Here is a 12,075-nt window from a genome sequence, read left to right on the forward strand (position 1 = left end):
TGTCCTTTGCAAGGACATGGATGGAGTTGGAAGGCATTATTCTCAGCAAACTAATGTAGGAACAGAAAACCAAATACCACATGTTCTCACTTATAAGTGGGAGCTAAATGATGAGAGATGGACTCATGGTAAGGACAACATACACTGGGCACATGTGGGAGGAGGTGGGGGGAGGAGTTGCATCAGGAAGAATAGCTAACGCATGCTGGGCTTAATACCTAGGTGATGGGATGATCTGTGCAGCAAATCACCATGGCACATGTTTACCTATATAACAAACCTGCACATCCTGCATGTATACCTCTGTACTTCACATAAAAGTTTTAAAAAATTATGATTTTTTTAAGTTATTGCCCTACTGCACTCCAGCCTGTGCAACAGAGTGAGACCCTGTCTCTAAAGCAAAAACCAAACCAAACCAAAACTAAACTAAAATGGATGGTTCCATTTATATGACAGTCTTGAAATGACAACACTGTCATTAGAGAACAGATTATTGGTTGTCAGAAGTTAGAGGTGAGGGGAGTGGATAGGAGGGTTAGACTGGAGATAAAGGCATGCAGTATGAACTCTTTTTTAAGAAAGCAGATTTTATGGAATATAGACATGTGACCCTCTTCCGCCCTTTTGGACCTCTCATGAAAGTGAAGAGCAAGATGATTGACATCATTAGATCAATTATTATTAATATCATTATGCCACTTGCTGAAAGAACTGAAGCACTTGTACAGTTTATGCAGAACTTCAGGGAGGTTTGTATTCATCAAGACAAGATTCATCTCACAGTAGTGTATTTTGGTAACGAAGGACTGTCTAAAGTCAAGTCTAGCCTAGAATTTGTCACAAGTGAGTCTAATTTTCACAATTACACTGTGGTCCATTGAATGAAGAATTTAATCGTGGATGAGGACTAAATGTGGGTGCCCGAGCTTGGGACAAGGGAGAGGTCTTTATGTTTTTCTGTGATGTTGATATCTATTTCTCAGCCGAATTCCTTAACAGCTGACAGTTAAATGCTGAGCCTGGTAAGAAGGTGTTTTACCCTGTGGTGTTCAGTCTTTACAATCCTGCCATTGTTTATGCCAACGAGGAAGTGCCATCACCTGTGGAGCAGCAGCTGGTTCACAAAAAGGATTCTGGCTTTTGGAGAGATTTTGGCTTTGGAATGACTTGTCAGTATCGATCTGATTTCCTGATCATTGGTAGATTTGACATGGAAGTGAAAGGTTGGGGTGGAGAAGATGTTCATCTTTGTCAAAAATACTTACATGGTGACCTCATTGTGATTTGGACTCCGGTTACTGGTCTTTTCCACCTCTGGCCTGAAAAACGCTGTGCTGATGAGCTGACCCCCGAGCAGTACCGCATGTGCATCCAGTCTAAAGCCATAAATGAGGCCTCTCGCTCCCACCTGGGAATGCTGGTCTTCAGGGAGGAAATAGAGACGCATCTTCATAAACAGGCATACAGGACAAACAGCGAAGCTGTTGGTTGAAATCATAATTAATGCGTTACTGTGTGAACCGCAAACCAGCACTATTTATTTAGCCTTAATTCCACTTCCGGATGCAGTGCCTCTTTTGGAGAAGACATGTTTATTTTTCCTTTCTGACATTACTTTAGCAGTTCAACTTGATGAGAGATGAAAAAAACAAATGTTTCAACACAAAGTCTCTGTTTTGTGAAAATACTGCACTATGGAATAATTGACAAATTAAAATCTCGTATTTGTCCCAAAAGTTGTTTTGAGTTAGTTCTACCTGGTGCCCATGTTCTGATTGTGTGTGGGATTGCATGGTGTCCTGATTGCATCTAGGTGGAGCGGATGGAATGTGCTGGGCTGCTGTTGGGTGAAGAGCAGCACATTCTTACAGAGGAGATGGAGTGCTATGAGCATAGTGTGTGGACAGGTATCTTCATCTGCCCACCCCTGAGTCAGCGTGCTTGATTTGATAGCTTGAAGAATCCTTTTCCACTGAAGCAGAGGATAATTATTTGACACATCTGAAATCCTCAATCAATCAATCAAGAGAAAGGTAGAAATAAAAACTCCTTAACTTACTGTTGCTTAGCCTCCTGAAAGTCTGTTTTTAAGCAAATGGGTAATAGTAGAAAACAGGTTAGAATCTATGGCTTGATTAAAAATATAATGCTATTACATTATCATCATGCTCAGGATTAGTAGTCAGAGTTGCTATAGACTATTTTGCACAAACAGAAAAGAACACGGAAACCTTTTTAACAGAGCATTTAATTATGTTGGAGTACAGGATCCTAGCTGTGTCTGGGAACATTAGTTTATGTGCGCCAGCTACATCAGGGTCTTCCCATGGTGGTTCAGAATAGATGAGCATAGCAAGGTTTTGTTTTTGCTTTCGATTTTCTCATTTGGCATGGACCCATATGTATTTGCTATCCTTTTTTCTAATATATTAATATATGCTACATTTGTATTTGCATTACTATAATACTTTGAGTTGAAAAAGAGTTTCATTGTGGGGAGAAAAAGCAAATGGTATACCACAAGGTCACTCTGATTTGAGAAAAGAGAGGAGGAGGGGAAGATAGTCTGAATGGAAATCTGAAATATGGAATGTTTTAGAGAAATATATCACTTGCATATAGAATGTTTTGAGGTATAAATTAATGAGACAAAGTGAAGAAGAAATTATATTCAGATAGGACTGCACTATGTGTGATTATTTGTCACACATGGATCTGTTACCATCAGGTCAATTCCTAGCATGCATAAATTTTTTAACCTTCAGCTTTTAAAAGAGACCTATGTTGAATTCTATTAGTATGTAAACCCCTGAAAATTCACTGAAGAAAAATCATTACTCTTTTTCTCAGTAAATCATATCATCTGAAATATTACAAATTTCAAATTTCTAGGTGCTATATTAATTCAATATTATAATAACTCTTACCTAATTATTCTTACAAGTTTTGAGTTGTGGTAGTGTTTAGGGATTTTTTTAAAGATGTGTGAAATATTCTCTGCAAAATCAGGCCACTGTCTCCTTTTATATATTAATACAATTGTGTATTACAAAGACCAGTGAATTATAATATTTAAAGTGAGATAACGTAATTATTTGCAAAGGTAAGTTACAGCTTGTTTTTCGAGAGAATCAAATGAGTTTACTTTTCCTCCTATTGTTTTTAAACTAGCTTTTAGTTTAAAGATGGAAGCTAACCAATGGAAATGTTACTATGTTTTTGACGTTTATTAAACAGTACCAATAAAGTATTTTATTGCCAGAAAAAATAAATTTTTAAAAATGGTATAGATGTGTTTTTAAAAAGTCAATTTTAATATGTGATAATTTTTAAAGAGAAAGAAAAGATAAAAGAGATAGGAAACCAGATTAAGAGAGATATTGAAATATCAAGTTTTTAAAAAATGGGCAATACTATAGTATATAGGGGAGTGACATCAGCAAAATAGCAGATTAGGTAGCTCTAAACTCCTATTCCTCCACAGAAACATAGAAAAACAAACAGAAACTGTCAAAGCCAACTTTTTCAGGACTTTGAAAAACAGTCAAAGGTGAACACTGAAACAACAACAAAAAAAGAAACTAAAATGGCAGGAGAGCTTTGTGGCATTTTTACTCATCCTTGCCCCACTCCTCTGGCTTGGTGGTGGTTTAGAAGATGGCACCCTGCATTCCCAGTTTAAGACCCTGTTCTCTGGTTCCAGAGACAGCAGAGCAAATCTTATTCACAAATTATTGTGTAGGTCTGTGTATTAGTCCATTCTCACACTGCTATTAATATAAAGAAATGACTGAGACTGGGTAATTTACAAAGAAAAAAGGTTTAGGCCAGGCACGGTGGCTCATGCCTGTAATCCCAGCACTTTGGGAGGCTGAGGTGGGCGGATCACTTGAGGTCAGGAGTTCAAGACCACCCTGGTCAATATGGTGAAACTCCGGCCCAACTAAAAATACAAAAATTAACCAGGCATAGTGGCGCAAGCCTATAATCCCAGCCACCTGAGAGGCTGAGGCAGGAGAATCACTTGAACCTGGGAGGCAGAGGTTGCAGTGAGCCGAGATCGTGCCAGTGTACTCCAGCCTAGGTGACACAGCAAGACTCCATCTCAAAAAATATAAATAAATAAAAATAAAAATAAAAATAAAATAAACTGCTTCAAAAGAGGCTGAGCATAGTGGTGGACACCTGTAATCCCAGGCTGAGGTGGGTGGATTGCTTGAGCTCAGGAGTTCAAAACCAGCCTGGGCAACATGGCAAAACCCTGTCTCTATTAAAAAATAAATAATAAAGTGCTGAAAGAAAACAAAATATTATCAACAAAGAATTCTATATCCAGCAAAACTGCCCTTCAAAAATGGAGTAATAAAACATTCCCAGGCGAACAAAAGTTAGGGGAGCTCGTTACCTGTAGACCTGCCCTGTGAGAAATGCTAAAGGGCAGCCTTCAAGTTGAAACAAAATGACACTAGATAGTAACTTGAAGCCATATGAAGAAATGAAGATCTCCGGTAAAAGTAACTGCATACAAATAAAAGCCAGTAATACTGCAAGTCTGGTTTGTAACTCCATTTTATTTCCTACATGATTTAAAAAGCAAATGCTTAAAAATAATTTTAAATTTATATTACTGGGCATACAATGTACAAAAATGTAAGCTGTGACAACAAAGTGGGGTGGAGCTACAAAGGTACAGAATTTTTATATGCTATTAAAACTATGCTGGTATCAATTTAAACTAGAGGGTTATAAATTCAAGATGTTGACTGTAGGGCCGGGCGCGGTGGCTCACGCCTGTAATCCCAGCACTTTGGGAGGCCGAGGCGGGTGGATCACGAGGTCAGGAGATCGAGACCATCCCGGCTAAAAAACGGTGAAACCCCGTCTCTACTAAAAATACAAAAAATTAGCCGGGCGTAGTGGCGGGCGCCTGTAGTCCCAGCTACTTGGGAGGCTGAGGCAGGAGAATGGCGTGAACCCGGGAGGCGGAGCTTGCAGTGAGCCGAGATCCCGCCACTGCACTCCAGCCTGGGCGACAGAGCGAGACTCCGTCTCAAAAAAAAAAAAAAAAAAAAAAAAGATGTTGACTGTAGTCCCCATAGTAACCACTAAGAAAATATATTTTTAAAAACCCTATACTGTCTAGAAATGCATACATAGATGATAAAAACCATAAAGAAACACAAGGAAATAATCAGCAAAAAAAAAAAAAAAAAAGAATCGTGGCTACTTTTGCAGGGAAGGAGGGAGCTGTGATTTGAATGTGGCAAATGGAGGAGCCTCTGGGATGGCTCACAACATTCTATTTCTTGACCTGGGTGGTGGTTACAAGGGTGTTCACTTTAACTCCTTAAGCTTTGTTTTGTGTAGTTTTCTCTAACTGTGCTTTATTTTATATTTAAAAACTTGTTAAAAATAGCAGAGATAGAAAGGGGAGATGGAACCAAGATGAGTCAGGGAAGGCTTCTTTGAGGAGGTAACATTTAAATCGAGCACTGAAAGATAAGAAAGGGCTACTAAAGTAAAGGGTGGGGCCGGGCACGGTGGCTCACGCCTGTAATACCAGCACTTTAGGAGGCTGAGGCAGGTGGATCACCTGAGCTCAGGAGTTCAAGACCAGCCTGGCCAACATGGTAAAGCCCTGTCTCTACTAATAATAAAAAATTAGCCAAGCATGGTGGTGCACACCTGTAATCCCAGCTACTCTGGAGGCTGAGGCAGGAGAATCCCTTGAACCCAGGAGACGGAGGTTGCAGTGAGCCAAGATCGTGCCATTGCACTCCAGCCTGGGCAACAAGAATGAAACTCCAACTCAAAAAAAAACATTTTTTTTAAAATAAAGGGTGGGAAGAGAGTATCTGAGGCAGAGAATAGGTGGCAGAATATAAGGAGTAGGATATAAGAAGGCCCTGAGGCAAGACTATGTAGTTGTTCCTACTCCAGTAGCTAACGGTTGGGGCTGGAGTCCAGTGGGCATGGGGAAAGCTTGAACAAAGAGGAGGAACTTGAGAGGTGGGTAGGTGTAGATTGCTCAGCGCATTTTAGCATGAGAAAGGAAGTTTGAAATTTATTCAAAGTATAAGGAAAGGCATTGAAGGTATTTATTTATTTATTTGAGACAGAGTCTCACTCAGTCACCCATCCTGAAGTGCAGTGGCACAATCTCAGCTCACTGCAACCTCCACCTCCTAGGTTCAAGCAAGCACGTCCAGCTAATTTTTGTATTTTTAGTAGAGGCAGGGTTTCACCATGTTGGCCAGGCGGGTCTCGAACTCCTGACCTCAAGTGATCCACCTACTTCGGCCTCCCAAAGTGCTGGGATTACAGGCATGAGCCACCATGCCCGGCCACTGAAGGCTTTTAACCAAGAGAGTGCCATGTTCTCATTTAGGTTTCCAAAGAATTATCTTGCCTATTAGATGGGAAAATATTTGGAAAAGGGCAAAAATAGAAATGCAATGAGGCTATTGCAGAAATGCAGGGAAGAGGTGATAGGAACTTGCAGGTAGATGAGAGCCATAGATCTGAGAGATACGGGTAGTTTCTAAATTCTCTTTTTTATAATATTACACAACAATCCACAGTTATCAACTATTCAAAATAACCACTAGAACAAAACAAAGAAAATAATAATAATCTTCCTCACTATTCCACTTTGCTTTCCCACCTCTGCCCCTCCAAGGTAACAAATGTGGTTCTGATGTTGTCAAATCATTTCTCCATGCTCATACAGACATTAACAAATATATATACATGTTTATAGATTGGAAGGGTTAATTATGTTTTGCAGAAATATAACTATCCCATAAAAATAGCCGAGCTTGCTGGTGCATGCCTGTAGTCGCAGCTACTCAGGAGGCTGAGGTGGAAGGATCACTTTGAGCCCAGGAGTTTGAAGCCAACCAGTGCAACATAGCAAGACCTCATTTCTAAATAAATAAATAAATAAATAAATAAATAAATAAATAAACGAATATTACAAAAACAAAATAAATTATGAAATAGAAAATAAATTGTCAAAAAATCCCAGCAGAATTGATCAATAAAACTAAAAGACCAATAAATCAGAGACCTAGAGATATTGTGACAGGCAGTACTACTAGGTTGGTGGTAAATATAAGAAAATAAAATAAAAACATTTGAAAAAAGGTGCAAAAGAAAAATAGCTGGGCTGGGTGCAGTGGCTCACGCCTGTAATCCCAGCATTTTGGGAGGCTGAGGCGGGCGGATCACAAGGTCAGGAGATGGAGACCATCCTAGCTAACACAGTGAAACCCTATCTCTACTAAAAATACAAAAAAAAAAAAAAATAGCCGGGCGTGGTGGCGGGTGCCTGTAGTCCCAGCTACTCAGGAGGCTGAGGCAGGAGAATGGCGTGAACCCATGGGGCGGAGCTTGCAGTGAACCGACATCGCGCCACTGCACTCCAGCCTGAGTGACAGAGCGAGACTCCATCTCAAAAAAAAAAAAAAAAAAAGAAAAATAGCTTTGTTTTCTGAGTCATGAAAGAACCCTAATAGGCAACTCAGGTTGGGTTAAAAGGGAAGTGTCATACCAGGGTCAGATCAGTAGAATCCCACAACCAACAAAACTATACCCACTGGGGGAACTGCCGTATTTACTTATGCCCCTCTAATATTTCAGTTTAAAAGCTATAATTTATTCCTGATGACACATAACACTAGGCAATTCTGTTCACTCTTTGCTGATTCTATCTCTACTAATTGTCAAGATAATATTAAATAATACCATATATGCTCATCTGCTTAGATCCAATCTCGTCATAAGCCTGCTCTTCACCAGTCCTCATGCTAACCAATCTAATGTTAGCCAATTAGTAACAAGAAAATGATCCCAGTTATTGCTAATATTTTACCTTGCATGAGGTCTGATATGGTTTGGATGTTATCCCCTCTAAATCGCACGTTAAAATATAATCCCCATGTTGAAGGTGGGGCCTGGTATGAGGTGTTTGGGTCACAGGGGTGGATCCCTCATGGTTCAGTGCTGTCCTTGCAATAGTGAGTGAATTCTCGTGAGATCTGGTTGTTTAAAAGTGTGTGGCATCTCCCTCCCTACTCTCACCATGTGATGTGCAAGCTCCCACTCACCTCCTGCCATGAGCAAAAGCTCCCTGGGGTCTCCCCCAGAGCCAAACAGATGTTGGTGCCATGCTTCCTGTACAGCTGGTAGAACTGTGAGCCAATTAAAACTCTTTTCTTTATAAATTACCCAGTCTTGAGTATTCCTTTATAGCAACACAAGAACGGCCTAACACAAAAAATTGGTACCGGATGTGAGGCATTGCTATAAAGAAAACATGGAAACAACTTTGAAACTGGGTAATGGGTAGAGTTTGGAAGAGTTCAGAGGGCTCAGAAAAAAGACAGGAAAATGAAGGAAAGTTTGGAACTTCTTAGAGACCAGTTAAATTGTTGTGACAAAATTGTTGATAGTGATATGGACAGTGAAGTACAGGCTGCCAAGATTTCAGATGGAAATGAGGAACTTGTTGGGAACTGGACAAAGGTCACCCTTGTTATGCCTTAGCAAAGAACTTAGCTGTATTGTGTTCATGCCCTAGGGATCTGTGGAAGTTTGAACTTAAGAGTGATGACTTAGGGTATCTGGCAGAAGAAATTTCTGAGCAGCAAAGCATTTAAGATGTGATCTGGCTGTTTCTAATAACTTATGCTCAGAGGCAGGAGCAAACAAATAACTTACAGTTGGAATTTATAATTAAAAGGGAAGTAGAGTGTAAACATTTGGAAAATTTGCAGCCTGGCCACGTGCAAAGAAAGAAAAAGCTTTTTTGGAGGAAGGATCCAAGCAGGCAGCAGAGATCCAACCACTTGTTACAGAGTTCTGCATGACTAAAAATGAGCCAGGTTCTGATAGCCAAGACAATGGGAAAAAGACTTTGAAGGCATTTCAGAAATATTTGAGGCAGCCCTTCCCATCACCGGCCCGCAGGCCTAAGAGAAAATAACGTTCCCTGAGCCATCCCAGGGCCCTGCTGCCCTGCACAGCCTCGGGACACTGCTCCCTGCATCCAGGCTGCTCCAGCTCCAGCCTTGGCTCAAAGGGCCCCAGATACAGTGTGGGCCACCACTCTGGAAGGTGCAAGCCATAAGCCTTGGTGGCTTCCATGTGGTGTTAAGTCTGTGAGCACATAGAGTGCAAGAGTGAAGGAGACTTGGCAACCTCTGCCAAGATTTCAGAAGATGTATGAGAAAGCCTGGGTGCCTAAGTAGAAGCCTGCTGCAGGGGCAGAGCCCTCAGACAACCTCTACTACAGTGGGCAGTGCAGAGCAGAAATGTGGGGTGGGAGGACCCATACAGAGTCCCCAATGGGGTACTGCCTAGTGGAGCTGTGGGAAGGTGGTCACCATCCTCCAGATCCTGGCATGGTAGATCCATCAGCAACTTGGACCTTGAGCCTGAAAAAGCTACAGGCACTCAACTTCAACCCGTGAGAGCAGCCACAGAGGCTGTCCCCTGCAAAGCCATGGGTATGGATTGCCCAAGGCCTTGGGAGCCCACTCCTCACACCAGAGTGCCCTGGATGTGGGCCATGGAGTCAAAGGAGACTATTTTGGAGCTTTAATATTTAATGACTGCCCTGCTGGGTTTTGGACTTGCTTAGGGCCTGTAGCCCCTTTCTTTTGGCTGATTTATTCCTTTTGGAACAGGAATGTTTAGCCAATGCCTGTACCTCCACTGTATCTTGGAAGTAAATAACTTGTTTTAATTTTATAGGCTCATTGGTGGAAGAAACTTATCTCCAGATGAGGCTTTGGACTTGAAATTGAGACTTTTGAGTTAATACTGGGATGAGTTAAGACTTTGCAGGACTATTGAGTAGGGATGGTTGTATTTTGAAATGGGAGACGAACATAAGAATTGAGGGGGCAGGGCAGAATTATATGGTTTGGATATTCGTACACCCAAATCTCATGTTGAAATGTAATCCCTGGCTGGGCACAGTGGCTCACACCTGTAATCCCAGCACTTTGGGAGGCCAAGGTGGGCGGATCACCTGAGGTCAGGAGTTTGAGACCAGCCTGGCCAACATGGTGAAACCATGTCTCTACTAAAATATAAGAATTAGCTGGGCATGGTGGCAGGTGCCCGTAATCCCAGCTACTTGGGAGGCTGAGGCAGGAGAATTGCTTGAACCCAGGAGGCGGAGGTTTCAGTGACCTGAGATTACGCCACTGCACTCCAGCCTGGGTGACGAGAGTGAAACTCCGTTTCAAAAAAAAAAAGCAATGTAATCCCTAATGTTGGAAGTGGGCCTGCTGGGAGGCGTTTGGGTCATGGGGGTGGATCCCTCATGGTTTGTCCTCATGATAGTGAGTGAATTCTCCTAAGATCGGGTTGTTTAAAAGTGTGTGGCACGTCCCCCCAACTCTCTTGCTCTTGCTGTCACCATGTGATGTGCCTGCTCCAGCTTCACCTTTTGCCATGAGTAAAAGCTCCCTGAGGCCTCCCCAGAAGCCGAGCAGATGTTGGTGCCATGCTTCCTGTACAGCCACTAGAACTGAGAGCCAATTAAAACTCTTTTCAGCTCTCAGGTATTCCTTTATAGTAGTGTGAGAATGGCCTAATACAAGGTCTAATCAGAATTTAGCCTGTCTCAGTCACGTTTCCTGTCTCAGTCACATTTCCATTCACCTTCTTCAGTCAAAACTTTTCCTCCATACTTCTAAGCAGGTACCAAAGAAAATAACATGAATTCAGAGTCATCTATAAAATAAGAAAACAACTAAATCAAGATAGGGGAAAGGTACAGTAAATTATTCCTCTACCTAACACATTTCTGGGCATGACAGAAAAACAGCAGTATCAACTGGGTTACTTCCCTTGATGGCTAGCACAAGATCTCAGCTATAGACAGCTCCCCTTGGATGGCAAGTATGGAGAAAAGAAAGGGAAAACGCAACCTCCAGTTGGCCAAAAATCAATCTACATATTTAGAAAAGCCTTCAGCTGAGACCTTTCAAAGGACTGTAAAGTGCCTCATTCAGATAAAGATAAGTGTTCATATAGAGTATCATCCAAGCCTGGACACTTTTGTGCATGAAAGGAGGCACTATTAGTAATGATTCTGGGATGGAGGTTGGCAAATTTTTCCTAAAAATGGCCAGATAGTAAATATTTTAGGTTTTAGAAGACACATACGGTCTCTGTCATATATTCTTTTTCTTTTTAACCCTTTAAGAATGTAAAAACCATTCTAAGCCCAGACACCGTAAGAAAACAGGCCAGGAGGCCGGGCACGGTGGCTCACGCCTGTAATCTCAGCACTTTGGGAGGCCGACGGGGGCGGTCACCAGAGGTCAGGAGTTCAAGACCAGCCTGGTCAACATGGCAAAACCCCATTTCTACTAAAAATACAGAAAAATTAGCCAGGTGTGGTGGCACAAGCCTGTAATCCCAGCTACTCAGAAGGCTGAAGCAGGAGAATCGCTTGAACCCGGGAGGTGGAGGTTGCAGTGAGCCGAGATCGCACCATTGCACTTCAGCCTGGGCGACAAGAGCAAAACTTGGTCTTAAAAAAAAAAGAAAGAAAGAAAGAAAGAAAACAGGCTAGGATACAAGTTTGGCTATGGGCTTGGGGGAAAACACACATCAAGTCTGTTCTGGTCAAATAGATACATAAGTCACCCTAGCTGAAGGCCTGGTCTGTGATCCAATTCAAAATTTAGAATTAAGAGTAAGTATGTGGGCCGGATGCGGTGGCTAATACCTGTAATCCAAGCACTTGGGAGGCCAAGGTGGGTGGATCACCTGAGGTAGGAGTTCAAAACCAGCCTGGCCAACATGGTGAAACCCTATCTCTACTAAAAATACAATAATTAGCCGGGCATGGTGGTGTGCGCCTGTAGTCCCAGCTATTTGGGAGTCTGAGACAGTAGAATTGCTTGAACCTGGGAGGTAGAGGTTGCAGTGGTCTGAGATCGTGCCACTGCACTCCAGCCTGGGTGACAGAGCAAGACTCTGTCTCAAAATAAGAATAATAAAAATTTTTAAAAACCTACAATGATGAGAGTATGTCAGAGGGAGGAGTCA

General features: G+C 41.9%; 1 protein-coding gene and 1 pseudogene across 1 annotated transcript in view; one reads left to right on the forward strand and one right to left on the reverse strand.

Annotated features, from left to right (window-relative positions):
- XKRX (XK related X-linked) overlaps window positions 1–3,299 on the reverse strand; it is a 72,428-nt gene extending 69,129 nt beyond the window's left edge. The window contains exon 1 of the mRNA XM_011530955.2: window positions 1,269–3,299. The gene's annotated coding sequence lies outside the window, so the exon portion shown is untranslated. The remainder of the gene's footprint in view (window positions 1–1,268) is intronic.
- CSGALNACT2P1 (CSGALNACT2 pseudogene 1) lies at window positions 543–1,692 on the forward strand (annotated as a pseudogene).
- Window positions 3,300–12,075: the final 8,776 nt, after the last annotated feature.

This window comes from Homo sapiens, chromosome X (assembly GCF_000001405.40).
Source record: "Homo sapiens chromosome X, GRCh38.p14 Primary Assembly".
In the NCBI taxonomy this organism is placed as follows: domain Eukaryota; kingdom Metazoa; phylum Chordata; class Mammalia; order Primates; family Hominidae; genus Homo; species Homo sapiens.